Source organism: Homo sapiens, chromosome 3 (assembly GCF_000001405.40).
Source record: "Homo sapiens chromosome 3, GRCh38.p14 Primary Assembly".
In the NCBI taxonomy this organism is placed as follows: domain Eukaryota; kingdom Metazoa; phylum Chordata; class Mammalia; order Primates; family Hominidae; genus Homo; species Homo sapiens.
The window spans coordinates 129,802,235-129,825,983 of NC_000003.12; the positions used below are offsets into that span (position 1 = coordinate 129,802,235).

Genomic DNA, 23,749 nt, shown 5'->3' on the forward strand with positions numbered 1-23,749 from the left:
CCTCACAAAGGACAAAACCAAATGTCTTACTCAAGTCCAAAATATTACACCTATGATTCCCTTTTATTTACACATTGTACAAAAAGAAATAAATTACCTGGCAACATTTATACTTCAAAAAGTGATACTTGAGAGTATACTATCATCAAGATGGTGAACTAGGAAACATAGGCCTTCTTTCCCCCAGAGATATTGAGTTTAAAACAATATGTAAACTACAATACCACTGTAAGAACTACAGAGACCACTGTAGTCCCAGCTACTTGGAAGGCTGAGGCAGGAGGATCGCTTGATCCCAGAAATTTGGGGTTACAGTGAGCTATGATAGTGCCACTGCACTCCAGCCTGGGTGACAGAGTGAAACCTCATCTCTTAAAAAACAAAACTATAGAGACTAGCTGTGAAGCAATAGCACCTAGGCCATTGTAACCAAGACAGTATTCCTGTGAAAGGAGGAGGAAAACTTGTGGCATGTCGCACACCTGTTTGTGCCCCTCTCTCCCTACATGGCATAGCATAGAGCAACCATGAGGAATCTCTAATGAGATTCAGGACACACTATTCCAATTTATGCCACCTTGGCATTTGAGAAAACTGTACAAAGAGGAAAGTCTCTCTAATCTTCTGTTTTAGTCCATTTTGTGTTGCTATAACAGAATACCAAAGACTGGGTAATTTAAAAAGAAATTTATTTACAGTTCTGGAGGTTGGGAAATCCAAGGTTGATGGGCTCACCACTGATGAGGGACTTCTTGCTCCAACATCCCATGGCAAAAGACATAAGGGCAAGAGAGCATGCACAAGAGTGAGAGAAAGGAGCCAAATTCTTTTATCAGGAACCCACTCCCATGGTAATGTCATTAATTCATTCACGAGGGCAGAGCCCTCATGACATAATCATTTTAAAGGTCCTACCTCTCAACACACAAAATGAAATATTATTCACCCTTAAAAAGAAAGGAAATTCTATTACATGCAACAACATGAATGAACCTTGAGGACATTATGCTAAATGAAATAAGCCAATCACAAAAAGACAAATACCTTATGATTCCACTTATATGAGATATCTAGTGAAACTCCAAGAAATGAAAGCAGAACAGAGAGTGAGGGGAGGGTAGAAGGAAAGGAAGAGTTACTATTTAATGGGTTTAGAGTTTCAGGCTTGAAAGATGAAAAAATTTTGGAAATCTGTTTCACAATAATATGAATACACTTAACACTACAGCACTGTATACTTCAATATGGTTCAGATGGTACATTTGTTATGTGTTTTTACCACAATAAAAAAAGCGATACTAATTGCATTTCTATTTTCATGTATGCCCTTTGATTCAGCACTTTTAATTTTGTTTCCTTAAACCTCACTTTCCTTTTCTTGCCTTTAGGCATGGAATTCAACAGATGACTTTATCCAGAAAAGTTTTGACACCTCAATACAAGGCTTTAAAGACCCAGAGCACACACAAACACAAAAGGCTTACTGCCAAGAATCCTTATAAATGAACAAATATCTACTCTTTTGATTTCTTTTTAATACCTTATTACTCATAATCACACAATGTGTGATTATACATTGTGTGTAATTAAAAAAAATAATTATTTTAAAATATAATCAATTTCTTAGTCCTCGTCTAAATTCCATCTCTCATACTTAGCATCTTAAAAAGGACAATAATTACATTAAAATAATTAGAACACTAAATGAAATAATTATATGTCTAAGGTTTTGTTCTCAGGTGGTATTCCTTGCAATCGTTTGCAATGCCCAGAGCACGTTGAACATGAACATTACCTTAGTCAGAGAAACAAACAACTCTTCTCTTATAGACTACAAAAACATCTGTAGCAGTGAAAAATGAGAACACTGGTAAAAATAAAAGCCCCAAAGACCACATGAATGGTTAGCAAACCAAGCAATAAGGGAAAGTTGTTTAGAATTGTTAAGTCTTCCTATTAAGAGACCACTTTAGCCTTATAAAATGTCATTCTTTATCTTTGGTAATACTTCTTGCCTTAAAGTCTAACTCGCCTGATGGAAAATATAATGCCATGCAAATACTAACCAAAAGAAAGATGATATAACATAGCTACATTTTTTTGTGCTATTCTTTGAGTGGTTACCCTGCAAATTATATCATATGTTCTTAACTTACAGTCTACCTTAGCCAAATCCAAATAATACAAGGCCTTTTACCTCCATTAGGCCTCCCCTGACCCCTTTGGCTATTGTTGTTGCATATTTTATTTTTACAATGTTTTAAACCCCAGGACAGTTTTATTATCATTTTGAAGTTCAACTACTAACCTAAGGAAACACATAGGAAAATTATACACAGAGTAAACTAAATTAAGTAATACTATTTTGGCTAAATTGAAATTTGCTGAAATCCTATACAGGTCCATAGCTTGTCAGCCAGGTATTTGGAGAGTATGTGGTAGTATTCAGATTTGTGGGCACGGTATATCTAATTGTCACATCAATGAATTTACAGCCTTCAGCCTCAGTAGCATAGAGCTTATAGCACACCACAGGAACCCTAATGCAGCTCTAGGACCTACTAGTTGTACTCAATGGGGACCTCAACTCTCCCCCTTACTTGATATGAAAAATCCCCATTTTACCTCATCCTTTTCTCCTACCAGAATGTTTCCAAGAATGCTACGGAATGAATTCCTATATTGGACAGAAGAATCTTTTAACTAAGCTGTTATGGTACTTCATTATGGTGCATCATATAAAATCACCACTTTTGTGAGCCAAAAACTGCTCCAGTATTGGCAATTTCACATGGTTCAAAGTAATATTTAAATATAAGACATGCTAAAAACCAGGCTGGAGTTATATACCTTAAGCCAGGTTTCCTTCACCATATTAAAATTAAGAAGACTAAGCCTTAATATCGAAAGTCACCTTTTTATTTATTTATTTATTTATTTATTTTGGAGACAGGGTGTTGCTCTGTCACCCAGGTTGGAGTACAGTGATACAATCTCAGTTCTCTGCAGCCTCAACCTCCTGGGCTCAGGAAATCCTCCCACTTCAGCCTCCCAAGTAGCTGAGATTGTGGGCACAGGCCACCACGCCTGGCTATTGTTTTGTATTTTTGTAGAGATAGGGTTTTGCCTTGTTGCCCAGGCTGTTCTCGAACTCCTGGGCTCAAATAATCTGCCTACCTTGGCCTCCTAAAGTGCCGGGATTACAGGTGTGAGCCATTGCACCTGGTCACATTTAAAAGATTATTCTGTCTATGACACTGTAGGCCAATGAAAAGGAAAGATTTTAATCCAGGATTACTCATTTTGTCTAGCACATACACAGTCTGTTGAAATATAGGGAACTACTGTTTTGAAGTAGAGAAGACAAAGACTAGAATCCGTTTGTTTCTAATCATAACAATTAAAAGAACATTTCTGGCTGGACTGGGTGGCCCACTCCTGTAATCCCAATACTTTGGGAGGCTGAGGCAGGAGGATTGCTTGAGGTTAGGAGTTTGAGACCAGACTGGGCCACATAGCGAGACTCCATCTCTACAAAAAAACAATAAAAATAATAGCTGGGTGTGGTGGCACCCTGTAGTCCCAGCCATTTGGGAGGCTGAGGTGAGAACTGCTTGAGCCCAGGAGTTTAAGACTGTAGTGAGCTATGATCTCACCACTGCACTCCAGCCTGGGCCACAGAGTAAGACCCTGTCTCTTCAAAAAAAAACAAAAAAACAAAAAACAATTATATAGCAAAATCACTTTGGTAGCTACTTTCTGTCTCAAATTCTGTTTACTCAATAACAAAACGTAAGTAATGTAAGTGTCATTTTCTTTTAATTGGCCTACAGTGTCACAGAAGTGAGATTCCTAGTGATTTATTTAGGGACAAAGAAGAGTTTAGTGGGCAAGCCTGTATCGAAGCCCCTTGAAGTTCTATTCTAATACAAGTTTGGGAAGCATGGATTAAACGCGGAGGGTTGAACAGACTTATCTTGGCTCTCTACTAAAATTGAATAATAAAAGGCATAAACCTACACAGGCAGAGAACTGGAGAGGAGACAGCAATAGATAAAAGATTCCAATAAAATTATGAAAGATGAAAAACAGATCATCATTCTGAGGACAGATAGACTAAGCCAACAGATGAGAATTTCAGTCCTCTTCCACCTCGTCTTATGGAACACAGGCACCCAGACTAATTACCACCACCATCATCCACCCATTTCCAAAGGCAAAGGTTTGAACAATTTCTCAGGGAAAACTGGAGAAAAGACCTATAGATACTGATAACTGAAGGGCCTTGCAATAAACTAGTCTCTGTCCTCACAGGGTTTCCCATACCATTTTAATGCCTCTCTCAAATAGGAGAAGGAAGCCATGGTTAACCAGACACTTGAGAAAAGTCTTTAACATAAAAGACAGAAACTAAAACACTTAGTGGAGAAGAAACTCAGAAGACAGACATATTACAAGAAGCAAAAGAAAATACCCTCAGAGACAAAAGAAAACAAATATATAAAACAAGAAAAGCATGCTACAAAAAAGAAGCATTCATAGACAAGAAAAAGAAGCACTCAGGAAATTAAAAACATAATACCAGAAATAAAATATTTAGTGAAAGGATTGGAAAATAAACTTTAAGGAAATCTACCAGAAATTAGAACAAAAGACAGAGAGAAAATAAGAAAGAACAAAGGAAAAAAAACCACTAAACGGTAAGTCAGGAGAGCTAACTGCTAAGAAAAAGATATATATAGGTGGAGGAGGAAATTAAATAAATAATATGAATACAGCTATATGTGATAACATGGATCAATCTTAGAAACCTATTTTTGCCTAAAAAGCAAGCCCTAAAAGACTACATAAGCTATGGTATCATTTTACAAAGCCCCCAAGCAGGCAAAACTAAACAATAGTTGTTTAGTGTCAACAAACATTTGTAGTAATTCTTCTTTTAGAAGTCCAGGTACTGAAATATATAATTTAGGACAGGAGGAGAACTGTAAAGAGTTACAAAAGCATGGCAATGGTAATGTTCCCATTCTTATGTTGTATGGCTGGTTCACAGGTAGTGTATTACTATGTGTCATAGCTTATATGTTTATTTTATATGAATAAAATATTACACAATAAAATATAAAATACAGAATATAAAAATATTGAAAGAAGTTTTTTAAAACCAGTGTTTCCAGATCCAGTCTTTGAGTTTTCCAGATTGAAAGGACTCATAAATTTTCCAGATTGAAAGACTCCTAAGGCTGCATAGTACTGAGTCTGCTGAGTACTTCTGAGTCCTATGCCTTGGGCTGCCAAGATGACCCACACCAAGGCCCATCATTGTACAACTTCAGGACAACAGAGACAAAGAGAAGAGCTTTTTTTGAAATTCTAGAGAGAAAAACAGGTGATACCCAGAGGGTCAAGAATCAGAATGGCACCAGATTTTTTGTCAATACTGGAAGCTAAAAGCTAACAATACAAGAATACATGGGCAATTTATTTACAACCTAAAATTCAGTACTCAGCCAAACTACCATTAAAGTATAAAGGTAAAATAAATTTTGGAATGGGCATAATTTCTGAAAAATTATCTTCCATGCACCCTTATTCTATAAGGCTCATAGAGTGTACATTTCAAGAAAAGAAAGGAATAAACCAAAAAGAGGATATGAAATCAAGGAACCAAAGAATGTTATTTATTAATAGATTAAGGAGTCCCAGAACAAAAGATGTGCAACACTCTTGGAGAGTAGTCAATTCAGACTAGAGGAAAAGTGAGAGCTTCCAGAAGTGTATCTCCAAGAAAAGCTGAAACTGAGAAGAGTAAATGCTGTTTTGAAAATATTGAGAGATTTTGGGAGGATCGCTTGAAACTGGGGTCGGGGGTGGGGGGTCAAGGCTGTAGTGAGCTGCGACTGTGCTATGGCACTCCAGCCTGGGTGACAGAGCAAGACCCTGTCTAAAAATATATATATAAATAAGGCTGGGCATGATGGCTCACGCCTGTAATCCCAGCACTTTGGGAGGCCAATGCAGGCAGATCACCTGAGGTCAGGAGTTTGAGACCAGCCTGGCCAACATGGTGAAACCTCGTCTCCACTAAAAATGCAAAATTTAGTGGGTATGGTGGTGTGCACCTGTAATCCTAGCTACTCGGGAGGCTGAGGCAAGAGAATAGCTTGAACCCAGGAGGTGGAGGTTGCAATGAGCCAAGATCACACCACTGAACTCCAGCCTGTGCAACAGAGCAAGACTCCATCTCAAATAATAATAATAATAATAATAAAATTTAAAAAAAAGAAAATAATGAAAGATTTACAGTTCTTTGAGAATTTGGAGAGAACCCAATGACAGTTATAAACAACAAAAATTAAAGCAATTAACTCCAGAGACAGCAAAAAGGTGTATAAAAAGGGAAGTGTAATCATATTATACTACAAAGCTCAAGTTGTAAATATATTTACATTGGCATAATGTAAACAGCATATTGAAATATAACTAAAATTTTAATAAGATATGGATAGGAAAAAGATAATAAGAAAGCTACATGATCATTTTCATTAAAGGAAGTCAAGATATCCAAAACAGAAAAAAAAATAGCAGCATAAGCATGTTATTTAGAAAATATTTAGATAAATTTCAGAATAAAAAATTAAAAGATCAAAAAGTTAAAATAAATTTTACTTGGGTTAGATATGCTGGAAAAAAAAAAAAAAAAACAAAGAAACTTGTTTCTGAGAGCTTAACAAACCTGGAAGATTAGGCCAGGAGCAGTGGCTCACACCTGTAATCCCAGATCACGAGGTCAGGAGATCCTGACCTGGCTAACCATCCTGGCTAACACAGTGAAACCGCATCTCTACTAAAAATACAAAAAGTTAGCTGGGTGTGGTGGCAGGCACCTGTAGTCCCAGCTACTTGGGAGGCTGAGGCAGGAGAGTGGTGTGAACCCAGGAGGTGGAGCTTGCAGTGAGCTGAGATCGCGCCACTGCACTCCAGCCTAGGCGACAGACCAAGATTCCATCTCAAAAAAAAAAAAAAAAAAAAATTCTGGAAGATTATATTAAATAAATCTACAGAAAGTTGTTCACAAAAAATAACATTTAAAATAGAAGATTCACAAGCAAGTAAAATGTTTCATACTCCTAGTGTTGGAAAGCAGATATGACTTTTAAATTCCTGGTTTTAATAATTCTCTGTAAGACTAAGGACACAAACACATATCTGAAATAATATTAACTTCTTAATTTCATTTGTTCCTGTAGCTTACTGTTGGCCTAAAGCCACACAATTCAGCCTTCCTTTGTCAGGATGCATTTCAGAGCTTCCAGCTGTAATTTTTTAAATGGTACTGTAACAATACAGTATTGTGAAGCCACAGACAGTAAATGATAAGAGATACAAACTGACAGGAAGAAAAAAAAAATCTCCAGGGTGCAAAAGAAGAGAGAGAGAGGTAAAGACAGTATTTATAGAAAAACATTTAGTTAAAGTACTGAAATCCTGCAAAAAAGAATAGCTTTTGGTATTTTCCATACTGAACATTAATGCATTTTGCAAACAATTTTCCCGGTTTCAGTAGTAGCCAATTCTTTTTTTACCTCTTTTTAGGTAAATCCCACTAAAACAGTACATTTAATCTTGATGTGACAAAGCAAGTTACTCATCTAAATAAGGACCCTGATTTTATTTAGTTTTACTGATTTTATGTAGAAAAACATTAGAGCTACAAATCCTCATAACAATGAAAACAACATGTGAAAGTCAAACTTGTCTTGAATTTCTGTACTAATCCACACATCTCTGCACCCTAAGGCAACAAAAGATACTGATACAGAACTATGAGCAAAAATCAGGCTGGATGCGGTAGCTCACACCTGTAATCCCAGCACTTTGGGAGGCCAAGGTGGGTGGATGGCTTGAGCTCACAAGTTCAAGACCAGCCTGGGCAACATGGTAAAACCCCATTTCTACAAAAACATACAAAAATTAGCTGGGCATGGTGGCGGGCACGTGTAGTCCCAGCTACTAGGGAGGCTGAGGTGGGAGAATCACTTAAACCCAGGAGGCAGGGGTTGCAGTGAGCCAAGATTGCACCACTGGGCAACAGAGTGAGAGACACTGTCTCCCAAAAAAAACAAAACAAAACTAAGCAAAAATCAAGAGACATATATCACATACTAGTACGCAGAACCAAAACAGGTAATTTATACTGTGGCCTAAATCCTCCTGAACTATAATCGGATCACAAAACCTTTATACTCATTCTCATAAAGCTAAACTCCTGACAATAGAAAACAGCTTGCATTTTATCTTTATGTACAGAAACTTAAGCAAGTTCACCCTATATCTTAAGGCTCAATGGGCAAACATTCCTAAGAAGAATATGTTAATCTCACAAGCATTTATCTGCTTAAACTGAACTTGATTCTATGGTATAACTCATCACAAATTATATAATATAAAGACAATGTATGACATCAACGAATATGGAAGGAAGCTTATCAAAGCAATGTTTCAATTCATAAGCAATCACATTTACAACAACAAAATTAGGTAAATTGTTTCCTTCAGGTGTTTTGCATTTTTATAGAAAATAACAATTCTATGGAGCAGAAAACCTGGATACTGTTCTTTCACCTAGAAGAATGTATAGCTGTGTCTTGAACATCTACAACTGTTGAAACAAGTTTAATGTTATTGGAAAGCCTGTGGTGAGCTTAAGGCAGAAAACAATGTTTAAGGTATTCTAGTCCTATCCTATGGTAAAATGGTTATTTAAATGTGCATTTGCACAGCTGCTTAACATATGAGTTTTTTTAATTAATAAACCAAGAGTATGCTCCCTAAGACTGTGTATGTTCTTCTAAATAAGCTTCTATATCACTAAAATTCTAAAGCGTATTCCTCAGAGCATCCACATGGGGAAGGTTATATTGATCAGTTACTCTGATGCACTACTCCATTGTTAAGCTTACAAAGAAATGCTCAGAAACAAATAGATCAGAATTAGGATGCTCACTTTCATGGCCATTCATTTTATATATTATTTTTAATTTTTTAGAGATAGGATATCACTCTGTTGCCCAGACTGGACTGCAGTGGCACAGTCAACAGCTCCCTGTAACCTCAACTCTTGGCCTCAAGTGATCCTCCTGCCTCAGCCTCCCAAGTAGCTTGGACTACAGGTGTGTGCCACCACACCTGGCTGTTTTTTTTAAAATTTCTTGTAGAGACAGGGGTCTCACTGTGTTGCCCAGGCTGGTCTTGAACTCCTGGCTCCAGTGATCCTCCCACATCAGCCTCCCAAAGTGCTGGGATTAGGGGCATGAGCCACTGTGTCCAACCATTTGAGAAAAGTGATCCTGAGATGGGAATTTTCTCAGCAAATCTTCAATAAATGCAAGACTATGCATTTTTTTAAAAAAGAAATCAAGTTTTGGGCCAGGTGCAGTGGCTCATACCTGTAATCCCAGCACTTTGGGAGGCTGAGGTGGGCAGATCACCTGAGGTCAGGGGTTCGAGCCCAGCCTGGCCAACATGGCGAAACCCTGTCTCTACTAAAAATACAAAACTTAGCTGGGCGTGGTGGCATGCGCCTGTAATCCCAGCTACTCAGGAGGCTCAGGAAGGAGAATCACTTGAACCCAGTAGGCGGAGGTTGCAGTGAGCCCAGGTTGTGCCACTGCACTCCAGCCTGGGTGACAGAGCAAGACTCTGCCTCAATTTAAAAAAAAAAAAAAGAAAGAAAGAAATCAAGTTTTGGTGATTCTTACTATTCAATACTCTTAGATTCATTAGTACAGAAGGGCTTTTACCTTTGTGTTAACAATGAGAAATGGCTGGGCGTGGTGGCTCATGCCTATAATCCCAGCACTTTGGGAGGCCAAGGTGGGCAAATCACCTGAGATCAGGAAATCAAGATCAGCCTGGCCAACACAGTGAAACTCCATCTCTGCTAAATATGCAAAAATTAGCTAGATGTGGTGGCACGCACCTGTAATCCCAGCTTCTTGGGAAGCTGAGGCAGAAGAATCACTTGAATCTGGGAGGTGGAGGGTGCAGTGAGATCACGCCACTGCACTCCAGCCTAGGCAACAGAGCAAGACTCTGTCTCAAAAAAAAAAAAAAAAAAAAAAAGCCAATGAGAAAAAAACAGGGCATTATGTAAAAGAGGAAAGAAGAACACCACAACTATAACAAAGAAACTTAAGCTGGTACTCTGTAGGACTACAATCACATCCACAATACTCAAATCAAATCTCTGGTACTGAGATTTCACTTTTAATACCCCTGTTCAAGATATTTTATTGAAGAAGCTATAAATTTATTGCTGGTTTATCTTCACTGGCTGGATTTCACAAAACAAATACCCGACCTCGCCCCAAAAAAAGAAAAGGTAGAGACACTAAGGTTATTGTTTTTAAGGTGAGATAATTTTAAGCTTAAAAAGATGAGGCATATTTAAGACTTAAATCTAAAATGAAAAACTATAAAAACCTTTGAAGATAACCTAGGAAATACCATCTGGACATAGGACCTGGCAAAGACTTCATAACAAAGATGCCAAAAGCGATTGCAACAAAACCAAAAATAAACAAATGGGACCCAATGAAACTAAAGAGCTTCTGCACAACAGAAGAAACTATCAAAGAGTAAACAGCCTACAGAAGGGGAGAAAATACTTGAAAATACTTGCAAACTATACATCAGATAAAGGTCTAATATTCAGAATCTATAAGGAACTTAAATCAGACAACCCTCATTAAAAAGTGGGCAAACGACATGAACGAACACTTTTCAAAAGATAACATGCATGCAGCAACAGGCTTATGAAAAAATACTCAACATCACTAATCATTAGAGAAATGCAAATCTAAACCACAATAAGATACCATCTCACACCAGTCAGAATGTCTATTATTAAAAAGTCAAAAAATAACAGATGCTGGTGAGGTTGTGGAGAAAAGAGAACACTTACACACTGCCAGTAGGAATGTAAATTAGTCCAGCCATTATGGAAAGCAGTCTGGCGATTTCTCAAATAACTTAAAACAGAATTACCATTTAACCCAGCAATCCTATTATGTATTTTCCCAAAGGAATATAAATAATTATTCCACAAAGACACATGCACATGTATGTTCACTGCAGCACTATTCACAATAGCAAAGACATGGAATCATCCTAAATGCCCATCAATGGTAGACTGGATAAAGAAAATGTGGTACATGTACACCACAGAATACTACACAGCAATAAAAAAATAATGAGATCATGTCCTTACGGAGCTGGAGGCCATTATCCTACACAAACTAACACAGGAACAGAAAACCATATACCTCATGTTCTCACTTAACAAGAGGGAGTTAAACATTTAGTATGGACACAAAGAAGGGAACAACAGACACCAGGGCCTACTTGAGGGTGGAGAGTGGGAGGAGGGTGAGGATCGAAAAACTACCTATTGGGTACTATGCTTATTACCTGGGTAATGAAATAATTTGTACAACAAACCCCCGCAACATGCAGTTTACCTATTTAACAAACCTACCCATGCACTCCTGAACCTAAAATAAAAGTTAAAAAAAAAAAAGATGAAGCTATTCCATTTCTACTGAAGAAGAGATTATTCTTAAGGAAATAGTACTTATATATGTTAAAGGAAATTTAACAATTTGAAAATGTATTTACTAAGTCATCTGTGATAATAAACACTTTAATTGTTCATCCATTCTAAACTTGTCCTTAAGTTCTTTTTCCTTATTTTTTTTTTTTGTATAATAAAGCAGGGTAAGTGATAAAAGTCCACTGTTGGAATAACTATTTATACATTTATTCTCCCAAAGAGTTGAGTTATAGGCTTGCATTTCCTATGTGGAAATGGCTTGACAATCAGAAACCATGAAATTTCTAAAGACATTAGGAGAAGACCTGAGCGTAAGGTTTAGATAAGATGCCAGACAATTTCCCAGTGTACTCCTGAACCAGATCTTCACTCACAGGCTAATTTTCCTGCAGTGTTTTAATTTTAAGTATTCATCCTGTGAATTCCTATTTAAAGTGGCAGAATCTTTGTTTCTAATCTTTTCTTTGTGATCTAACATAAGTTGCCATCTCTTTAAAATAACTTGTTATGTTTGTTGTAAGCCTCATGGTAACCAAAATACAAAAACCTATAACAGATTCACTAAAAATAAAAAGCAATGAATTAACATACTACCAGAGAAAATCACTTAACCACAAAGACAATAGTAAAAAAGGGATGAAAAGAGGAGTTACAAAACAACCAGAATATGCAATAAAATGGCAGTATTAAGCCCTTACTTATCAAAAATAACACTGAATGTAAATGGACTCAATTCTCCAATTAAAAGGCATAAAGTGGCTGAATGGACAAAGAAATAAGACCCAACTATATGCTGCCTACAAGGAACCCACTTCTCCTACAAAGATACACATAGACTGAAAGTGAAGGGGTGGGGAAAATATAGTCTATGCAACTGGAAAACAAAAAAGAGTAGAAGTAGCTATACTTACATCATATAAAATAGATTACAAATCGAAGACTATAGGAAGAGACAAAGTAGGTCACTATATAAAGATAAACTGGTTAATTCAGGAAGCCGATGTAACAATTATAAGTATCTATGTACCCAACATCAGAGCTCCCAAGTACATGAGGCAAACATTAGTAGATCTAAAGGGAGAGATAGACTGATAGACTGTAATACAATACTAGTAGAGAAAGTCAGCACCTCATTCTCAATAATGGACAGATCATCCAGACAGAAAATCAACAGAGACACAAAAGTTAAAGTAGACACCATACTTAATAGACCTGACATTTATAGAACACTTCACCCAATTGCTGCAGAATACTCATTCTTTTCATCACCACAAGGGAACATTCTCCAGAAGAGACCATATCTTAAACAAATCTCAACGATTAAAAAAAAATAAATCATATTAACTTTTCTGACCACAATGGAATAAAGCTAGAAATAAGTAACATTCACAGCAACAGGAAAAACTCTTAAATTTATATGGAACCACAGAAGACACTGAATAGCCAAAGCAATCCTGAGCAAAAAGAACAAAATGGGAGGTATCACACTACCTGACTTCAAAACATACTATAAAGCAATAGTAAACATATTAGCACAGTACTGGCATAAAAACACACAGACCAATGGAACAGAATGGAAAACCCAGATATAAATCAACACATTTATAGCCAACCCATTTTCAACAAAGGCACCAAGAACATACAATGGGGTAAGAACAGTCTCTTTAATAAATGGTGCTGGGGAAAATGGACAACCACCTGCAGAATGGAACTACACCCCTATCTCTGAACATATACAAAAATCAAATCAAAAGGGATTAACAACTTAAATCTAAGACTGGAAACTATGAAACTACTAGAAGAAATCATTGGGGAAATGCTACAGGACATTGGTCTGGACAAGGATTTTCAGTGTAAGACCTCAAAAGCACAGGCAACCAAAGCAAAAACAGACAAATGGGATCACATCATGCTAAAAAGCTTCTGCACAGCAAAGGAAACAATCAACAAAGTGAAAAGACAATCCACAGAATGGGAGAAAATATTTACAAACTATCCATCTGACAAGGGATTAATAACCAGAATACATAAGGAACTCAAAACAATAGCAAAACAAATTCAATTTTATAATGGGCAAAAGATCTGAATAGTCATTTCTCAAAAGATGGCACACAAATGGCCAACAAGTATATGAAAAAATGCTCAATATCACTAATCATCAGAGAAATGCAAATCAAAACCACAATGAGACATCACATCACCCCAGTTAGAATGGCTTTTATCAAAAAGACAGGGAATAACATGCTGGGGAGGATGTGGAGAAAGGGGATGTATACTGTTGGTAGAAATGTAAATTAGTACAGCCACTATGGAAAACTTTACGGAGGTTCCTTTAAAAATTAAAAATAGAACTACCATATGACCCAGGAATTCTACTACTGGGTATATAGCCAAAAGAAAAGAAATCAAGATATCAAACAGACATCTGCATTGCCATGTTTATTTGCAAGTGCTATTCACAATAGCCAAAACATGGGATCAATGTAACTGCCCATCAGTGGACAAATGAATAAAGAAAATGTGGTATACAAACACAATGAAATATTATAAAGCCATAAAGAAGAATGAAATCCTTTCATTTGCAGCAACATGGATGGAAATGGAACTCATTTTGTTAAGTGAAATAAGCCAAGCAAGATAAACATCACATGTTATCACTCACATGTGGGAGCTAAAAAATAGTGGATCTCATGAAAATAAAGAGTAGACTAGTGGTTACCAGAGGCTTGGGAAAGGCAAGGGAGAGGGAGGGAAGGAGAGAGGTTGATTAATGGGTACAAATAAACGGGGTCTGATAGAAGAAATAGAAGAAATAAGACCTAATGTTTGATAGATCAGTAGGGTGATTATAGAAGATAATAATTCAAATGTTTCTAGCATAAAGAAAAGACAAGGCCAGGCATAATGGCTCATGCTTGTAATCCTAACACTTTAGGAGGCTGAGATGGGAGGATTACTTGAGCCCAGGAGTTTGAGATCAGCCTGGTCAACATATCAAGACCCCATTTCTAGAAAAAATAAAAATAAAAAATAAGCCAGGTGTGACGGTGCACACCTGTAGTCCCAGCTACTAGGGAGGGTGAGGCAGGAGGATTGCTTGAGCCAGGAATTTGAGGTGGCAATGAGCTATGACTGTACCACTGCACTCCAACCTGGGTGACAGAGCGAGAGCCTGTCTAAAAAGAAAAAAGAAAAAGACAAGACAAATATTTAAGGTGATAGATATCCCAGTTACATTGATTTGATGTTTATGAGTTATATAAATGTATTAAATGATCACATGAACCCCCAAAATACGTAAATTATATATCAATTTTAAAAGATAAAATTTAAATTAAAAAAAAGGCAAGCACATTTGAATCAGGTTTCTGGGGCACAGTGTCAACTGTTATTTAAAACCAAAACAACCTTATTGACCAAAGTAAAAATCTTTGTTTTTCACCCATAAGAGTCGGCCGGGTGTGGTGGCCCATGTCTCTAACACTAGCATTTTGGGAGGCTGAGGTGGGAGGATCGCTTGAGCCCAGGAGATCAAGGCTGCAGTGAGCCGTGATCAAACTACTGCACTCCAGCCTGAGCAACAAAGAAAGACCCTGTCTTAATCAATTAATAATATCTGTGAACTTTAAGATCATGAAATTACCAAATCAAAAAATCTGACAGAAAAGAATATTTACTATCTTATTATCCAAAGGGAAATAAATTGCTAACAAGAATTTCTTCCTTCTAGGCCCTTAGAGACTATCCCACATCTTCATATTTTGATTTTCAGAGTGGCTGAAGTTTCTATTAAGCTGGGAATTTTTTTTTTCTTTTTTAGATGGAGTCTCACTCTGTCACCCAGACTGGAGTGCAGTGGTGAGATCTCTGCTCACTGCAACCTCCACCTCCTGGGTTCAAGTGATTCTCATGCCTCATCCTCCCAAGGAGCTGGAATTACAGGTGTGCACCACCACACCCAGCTAATTTTTTTTTCTTTTTTGAGATGGAGTCTTGGTCTGTCACCCAGGCTAGAGTGCAATGGCGCGATCTCAGCTCACTGCAACCTCTGCCTCCCAAGTTCAAGCAATTCTCCTGCTGTAGCCACTGGACTAGCTGGGACCACAGACATGTGCCACGCCCGGTTAATTTTTGTATTTTTAGTAGAGACGGGGTCTCACCATGTTGGCCAGGCTGGTCTCAAACTCCTGACCTCAGGTGATCCACCCACCTCGGCCTCCCAAAGTGCTGGGATTACAGTCGTGAGCCACCGTGCCAGGCCTTTTTTGTATTGTTAGTGGAGATGGGGTTTCACCATGTTGGTAAGCTGGTCTCGAACTCCCAACCTCAAGTGATCCACCCACCTCAGCATCCCAAAGTGCTGGGATCACAGGTATGAGCCCCAGCACCTGGCTGGGAATTATTTTTTAAGAAAAAAAAGAAAAATACAAAACTTCTTTAAATTTCTGTGATCAGCAGACATCAGTTTTAAAGAAATTTTTAAAGAAAAGTTTTAAAGAAACTTTTAAAGAACAGTTTCAAAGAAACTTTTTAAATTTTCTTTAAAAGTTTCTAAGAAACTTTTAAAGAAAAGTTTTAAAGAAACTTTTAAAGAAAAGTTTTAAAGAAACTTTTAAAGAAAAGTTTTAAAGAAACTTTTAAAGAAAAGTTTTAAAGAAACTTTTAAAGAAAAGTTTTAAAGAAACTTTTAAAGAAAAGTTTTAAAGAAACTTTTAAAGAAAAGTTTTAAAGAAACTTTTAAAGAAAAGTTTTAAAGAAACTTTTAAAGAAAAGTTTTAAAGAAACTTTTAAAGAAAAGTTTTAAAGAAACTTTTAAAGAAAAGTTTTAAAGAAAACTTTTTGCAAAACAAATTGAGCACTGATTTAAAAAACAAAGATATCTGAAGGGCTAATAAATGACTGAATTCTTCAACATGCCACAATTCTTAATTATTCTGAAGAATATGGCTATACATTAAATAAATAATACTATAAATACAAAGTAAGAAAAATGAGGTGCTGAAGCACATGGTATCAGTGTTGGGAAATGATGTAGGTGACATTTGGTTAATCTCTAACACCAATTTAAAAAGGTAGAAGTTGAGGCTGGTCCAAGTGCAGTAATGCTTACAACTAATTGATCACAACCAGTTACAGATTTCTTTGTTCCTTCTCCAGGCCAAACAGTTCACTTGACTAGCCTAAGACGAAATGAAATAAAATGTAGAATGTGAAAGGTTCTCATTCTTTTTCTTTCTTTCTTTTTTTCTTTTGAGACGGAGTCTCACTCTGTCACCCAGGCTGGAGTGCAATGGCCCGATCTCGGCTCACTGTAACCTCCACCTCCCGGGTTCAAGTGATTCTCCTGCCTCAGCCTCCTGAGTAGCTGGGATTACAGGTGTGCACCACCATGCCAGGCTAATTTTTTTATTTTTAGTAGAGACAGGGTTTCACCATGTTGGCCAGGCTGGTCTCGAACTCCTGACCTCAGGTGATCCGCCCGCCTCGGCCTCCCAAAGTGCTGGGATTACAGGTGTGAAGGGTTCTCATTCTTAAAAGTAAATATATTAGAAATTAGAAGTTAAGTTCTCTACAAAAAGTCTTTTTACTAACAGTCTCAAAATGACTAAACATCTGTATTATTTTACTGCCTGTAAAAATTTCAATTACTCTGAATTAAACTCTACAACTTTTGCCAAATAAAAATTAAAGATGAAAGGTAAGTCAGATCACAAAAAGGAAAAACAATTTCAAACTGGAGTTGTGCTGACCATAAGCATATAATACTTCAGAATTAGGAAAGGTCTATTCACTACTGTAATCAGATCTGGGCATTGTGTTCTGTTCTGGAGACTAGAATTTAAGCGGAATACTGAAGAACGGGAACAGTTAGAGTTGATGGACCAGTATGACTAAGTACTCAAAATTATGATGTGAATGAATAACCCGGGGCTTGCTTCAGCAACCCATATACTAAAATTGGAATACAAAGATTATCATGGCTTCTGAAGAAGATGACACAAAAACTCGTGAAACACTCCATATTTTTTATGGACGTTGGGGTCCTTAGTGAATTGTTGAAACCACAAATTTAATGGTGTGTGCCACCAAACCCAGCTAAGAATCTACTTGACGTCAAGTTTCCCAGTGGAACCCAGGAAGGCTACGGATTCATTTAATATCCCAAGGAACCTCAGAATTTCTTATCTAGAAGGTGTTTATGCCATTCCTTAGATGAGCCTTCTCCTTGAACTATCTATTTCAGGCCTTGAAGACGCCTACTAGATTATTCTTGGCAAGACCTACAGTAGCAAAGAGCAGTGGTCAAAAGCATGACTTCTAGAGCTAAAAAGACTTGGTTCTGACATCCATTACAAACTTCTTACCAATTGTGTAAACATGGTAAGTCATTCCAACTTCATCTTGTTTCTTCACTTATAAAAATAGAGATAGTAATACTTCACAGTACAGTTGTTTGTAGTGAGAATTCACTACTGTATCCCAAACACTTAAAATGCCTGGATCAAAAAATGTTAAATTAAAAAAATATATATATATATCCCAAGGACTAAGGATTATTAGTCTGGAGAAGGGATTATTCAGGAAGAGACACAATGTGAAGGCAATTCATGCCTGCAGAGGCATTACATATTCTGATTGGCCCTAACTGGAGAAATACAGGGTACCAGATTCAGATTAATATATTAGATTTGTCTAACAGAGGCACAAGTAGAATAGGCTGCTTTGGGAGATTCTGAGAGGCCAGACAACCGTTTAGGGAGAATGTTAGAGAGCTATAAATGAAAACGACTGTAGAAATCTCTCCCAATATGAGATTTGTGTTAAAGAAAGGCTCAAAAGGAGAAGTGGAACTTTCTTAGGACAATGCTCCAGCACTCTTATCTTACCCTTCCCAGATGGTTATAGCAACTTGGCAGGAAAAAAACAACAGAATTAAAAACAATCGATGCTATTAACCACCAGATTATAGGCCAGTAAAACTGCATGGAAGCAAAGATAAACCAGCCAATTACCTCTCACTTCCTACTTTTAAGCACTGTTCAGAGGTTAGTAAGAGGTGGCGACTTCCAGCAATTTCATTGTGGCCTTTTGATAGTACATAAGGAAAGCAGTGGGAAACTTACTTTTTTCTTTCATCTAAGTTTCTACTTCAAGAGTTAATTATGAAGCCTCAAATCTTGCTTCAATTTTAACTAAGACCAACTGTTCAAGTTTTTTTCTTATGTGTTTTAGGAAAATTACTTGGCAGATTACCGACTTTTTGACAGCCTGTATCATTCTAAGATCTATATTCTCTGCCTTTATATTACACTCCCCACACTAAGTACATGATAAAAGCTATCAATATTGAGGCATCTGTGCTGTAGATGTGTAGATGTAGATGTAGATGTGTACATGTGCAAAGAGCTTAGACTCAGCCATGAACTAGCTCTCTGGTCTTAGACAAGTTTTAAAATTTTCCCTAAGCACTAATTACTTCATTTTTTTTTAAAGGTATTGACCTGCCCCAAAATACTCACATGCAAATTAAACTGCAAAGTATACATGGAAAGGATCTTACATACATTAGACACTCAAATATTTGTTAAGAATGATCTGATATAATGATATAAAAACAAATTCACTTCAACAAAATTCTTGCAAAGAATACTATCAACTACATGGAAAAGATTCCCAATTAAAGTTCATTTTATGAGTTCATTAAAATTCAGCATTTCCAGGGCAGGTTTCTTGGTGTCTTAAGGCAATAAGATAACAGAGGGATGATTCTCATCGTCATCACTCTTTCTTACTATAACTCTGCAACATTTTATGTGGTTAGTAAGAAACTTTAATTATGGGCCCTGTTTTCCATCCCACCCTCAAACTCACAATGCAGAAATAACTCCATGAAGACTATTTAACCAGCCATCTCACTAAATATAAGAGTCCGTGGCCACATGCAGTGGCTCACACCTGTAATCCCAGCACTTTGGGAGGCTGAGGCGGGTGGATGACTTGAGCCCAGGAGTTCAAGACCAGCCTGGGCAACACCGCAAAACTCCTCTACAAAAAAATACAAAAATTAGCCGGGTGCAGTGGCACTCACCTGTGGTCCCAGCTACTTGAAGAGGCTAAGGTGGGTGGTCACTTGAGCCTGGGAAGTCGAGGCTGCAGTTAGCTGTGATCACACCACTACACTCCAGCCTGGGTGACAGAGTGAGACCCTGTCTCAAATATAAATACATATATTTATATATATTTATGAGGCCTTATTTTTTAGGCATTGTAAATAACTATTTTGTTATTATTTTGTTTAGACATCTGAGAATCCAGGATGTCACTGTTCATATTTTAATGATGAATGGGATTAAAATAACTTTAGGGAATCATTTCAGTATTTGATATCTACTGTTACCCGTCTGAAAATGATGGCAAAAGTTGTTTAAAAGTAATAACATAAGAACCAGGCATGGTGGCACATGCCTATAGTCCTAGCTACTCAAGAGACTGAGGTGGGAAAATCCCTTGAGCCCAGAAGTTTGAGGATGCAATGAGCCATGATTGCACCACTGCACTCTAGCCTGGGCATTAGAGCAAGACCCCAACCCCATCTCAAAAAATACATAATAACATAAGAAACCAGAGGTAGTGATGAAATCAGTCTTTGTCACTGCTCTTAGATTTCTGCCTTCAAACAAGCTGATCTAGCAACCAATCTTTGAAAAAAGGAAAAACTTTCCTTTCCCCTTTTCTTATTTCCTGCTTGAAAGAACTGGTGTTCTTCAATTCTCTGGCATTCTTCAATTCTCTGGCATGCTCAACCAGGTAAAGAGGCAAGAATGCTGAACACAAAACAAGAGGGAACCCAGGGATCTGGTCCTGGTATCACTCATAATTAACTGTATAACTTCAGGCAGGTTTTTAACATCTCTGGACCTGTAAAATCAGGAGTTTGATTAGAATTAATCAAAGTAGCTTAATAGGCCTAACAGTCTATGAGTCTGGTAGTCACTTGGCAGCAGCCAGTGATCTTCTGACTAGAAATCATTTGTGGTGCAAGGGACTCATTTTGCAACTCAAGACTTTTGAATTCTTAGCTTCCTCATTATTACAGTTTTGAAATCTGAGTCAGGGTTTCTTATCCCAGTAAGATGTTACTATGACAAAATAAAAAGATTTGCCATAACTTTAATTTTTAAAATAAAACATTTTAGGCCAGCGCAGTGGCTCAGGCCTGTAATCTCAGCACTTTGAGAGGCTGAGGCAGGTGGATCATTTGAGGTCACGAGTTCAAGACCAGCCTGACAAACATGGTGAAACCCCATCTCTACTAAAAATATAAAAATTATACAGGCGTGGTGATGTGCGCCTGTAATCTCAGCTACTTGGGAGGCTGAGGCAGGAGAATCGCTTGAACCCAGGAGGTGGAGGTTGAAGTGAGCCGAGATCACGCCACCGCACTCCAGCCTGGGCAACAAGAGCGAAATTCCATCTCAAACAAAACAAAACAAAAATAACATTTTATATATTTAAAATTTTGTTTAGGAACATATTCCCAAAGTTGATATATATACAAAGTGAGAGACACCTATTAACGCATAATGTATATTAATTGTGACCCTGAAGTACAAAAGTTCAAAAATAAAATCTAGCCTGCTCACATTGACCAACAGGATCATAGGCTATGATAACATCAAAATAAGTCAATTTTTAACAAACACCGACTTAGTTCAACATTGGGCTAACTTGCCAAAGTTGTCTTTCTTGAGAAAAAATGCTGTACTGAGATCCCTGAAAAACAAACAAACAAACAAACAAAAAAACAGTCTGCAATAGTAATTACCTTACACAAAACACAATCTTGGCCTATCCCTCCGTCTATCTATCTATGACTCTTTGGAAGCAAGACCTTATATTAGCGTTCTGGATAAACCAAAGAGTAGTGGACTTTGGATACTAAAATTCTCCTCCTCTACTCCTAAGATTCAAAGCTATTGATAAAGTACCCAAATCTCTGATGAATAAAAGAGAAAAGCAGAAATTAGGTCACATACTATATATGTTTAGGAGTCTGATTACCCTAAAGCCTGGACCATTTTGTTGTATAAAGGAAAAAGAGGTTAAAGAGTGAACTCTACTTTCCATTACGTTGAGCCTTCATCATAAAAGGCTCTGAACAGAAAGAAAGTAACTCAGACTTAAAAAACAAACAAATGAACTTTGGCTGGGCGCGGTGGCTCATGCCTGTAATCCCAGCACTTTGAGAGGCTGAGGCAGGTGGATCACTTGAGGTCAGGAGTTTGAGACCAGCGTGGCCAAAATGGTAAAACCCTGTCTCTACTAAAAATACAAAAATTAGCTGGGTATGGTGGTGTGTGCCTGTAATCCCAGCTATTCTGGAGGCTGAGGCAGGAGAATTGCTTGAAACTGGGAGGTGGAGGTTGCAGTGAGCAGAGATCATGCCGCTGCACTCCAGCCTGGGTGACAGAGCGTGACTCTGTGTCAAAAAAAACCAACCAACCAAACAAACAGAAACAAACTTTAAGAAGCATCCCTATGATATTACACTTTGCATAACAAATTTACCAAGGTTAGGAACAGTTAGCTTATCTGTACCTTCACTTCTACTCTTACAAGAACTATATTTGATGCCCACATGAGATCATTAAGGATAATCAAAATATCTTTGGGGCCAATGAATACATATTTATATTAAAGGAAACTCAGTATTGGGGGAAAGGACATAGCCATAAACATTCTGGCTTTCAGAGGTAGGGTCAATAAACCTGTAAGTTACTTGCTTTGGCAATCAAGTTTTGCTACGTAAAGTATCTTTAAGGGAGAACAATGAGAAAGCCAAAATACATCTTCATTTCTAACTTATGCCCACTGTTCCAGTTCCGTATTATTAAAGGCCTATAAGACATTCTCTTCATAGTAGGTGTCAGCCACCCAACTGAAACTAAATGGTTTTCCTTAAAAAATACAATTTTTCAACTGTTTAGTGGAAATGGAAAATATTTTCTGATTCTCCCAAGCAAACTTCAGATTTTAAAATTTTTTATTCTAACATTGTTATCAAATCCTACCTGTTCTTCTATTGTCCATTCCACTTCCACAGTTATCAATTCAGCTCAATATTTATAAGAGCACTATCACTATTTAATAGTCACTGTGCTCAAGCTAGCCCACATCCTAATGACTTCCTGTACTAATTAAATTATCACCCCGGGGTTAATCAATGTCCTGTCAGGCATCCATCCCCTCACTTCCACCTACCAATCCTCACCTAGGGCACCACCTGGTGGTCAACAAAATGAATTATCCTTTTCCCCGCTTCATTTCTTCCCCACTGGGAGAACAGTACACCTGCATTACTAGTTTTGCTTACAGTTCAACTAATTCAAACTTAGAAATCTTTTTATTTGAACACATACATCTCCCTCAAACTTCTTCCACTTTTCTCTATCTTCCAGGTACAGCCAGGCATTACAAAAATTTCCCTTTCCTTCTGCCTATAAGTAATCCAAAAAGCTTCCCTCATTGCAGCCTAATATACACTGCTTTTCCTAAATCTGGCTATAAATAAGAAGATGATATAGTGAGCTCTGAAGTGATATTAACCTTAATAGAGAACCTGAATCCATAACTTCCAAACTTTCCCTTTAGAAGCTCCGAAGTTTACATCTATCTTTTTTGGTGGGGGTGGGTGGTAGGGGGTTGAGACAGGGTCTTGCTTTGTTGCCCAGCCTGGAGTGCAGCAATAAAAAGGAACAAACTATCAACACATTCAACAACAGTTGAATCAACAACAGTTGAAAAGTATTACACTAAATGAAAGAAGTCAAACACAAAAGACTGCATGATCTAATTTTTTAGGAAATTCTAGAAAAGGCAAAACTATAGCAATAGAAAGCAGATCAGCGGCTACCAGAGGCCACCGGTTGGGTAAGAGGGACTGACTGCAGCCAAGGGGCATGAGAAATCATTATTTGGGGGTAATGGGAATGTTCTATATAATGACTGTGTTACTATAAAACTACACATTTTTCAAAACTAGTCAAGATGTACACTTAAAACTGGTGGATTTTACTGTAAGCATATGCTAATAAAGTTGACAAAGCATTAAAGAAACAATGTTATGAAAAAAGT

At 37.4% G+C, this 23,749-nt stretch overlaps 1 protein-coding gene and 2 pseudogenes across 12 annotated transcripts in view; 2 read left to right on the plus strand and 1 right to left on the minus strand.

The window, feature by feature from the left end:
• The window catches only part of TMCC1 (transmembrane and coiled-coil domain family 1), a 245,920-nt gene that overhangs the window by 154,443 nt on the left and 67,728 nt on the right, over nucleotides 1-23,749 (minus strand). The window lies entirely within an intron of this gene.
• On the plus strand, nucleotides 16,698-16,796 carry RNY3P13 (RNY3 pseudogene 13; annotated as a pseudogene).
• On the plus strand, nucleotides 17,543-17,642 carry LOC124906340 (uncharacterized; annotated as a pseudogene).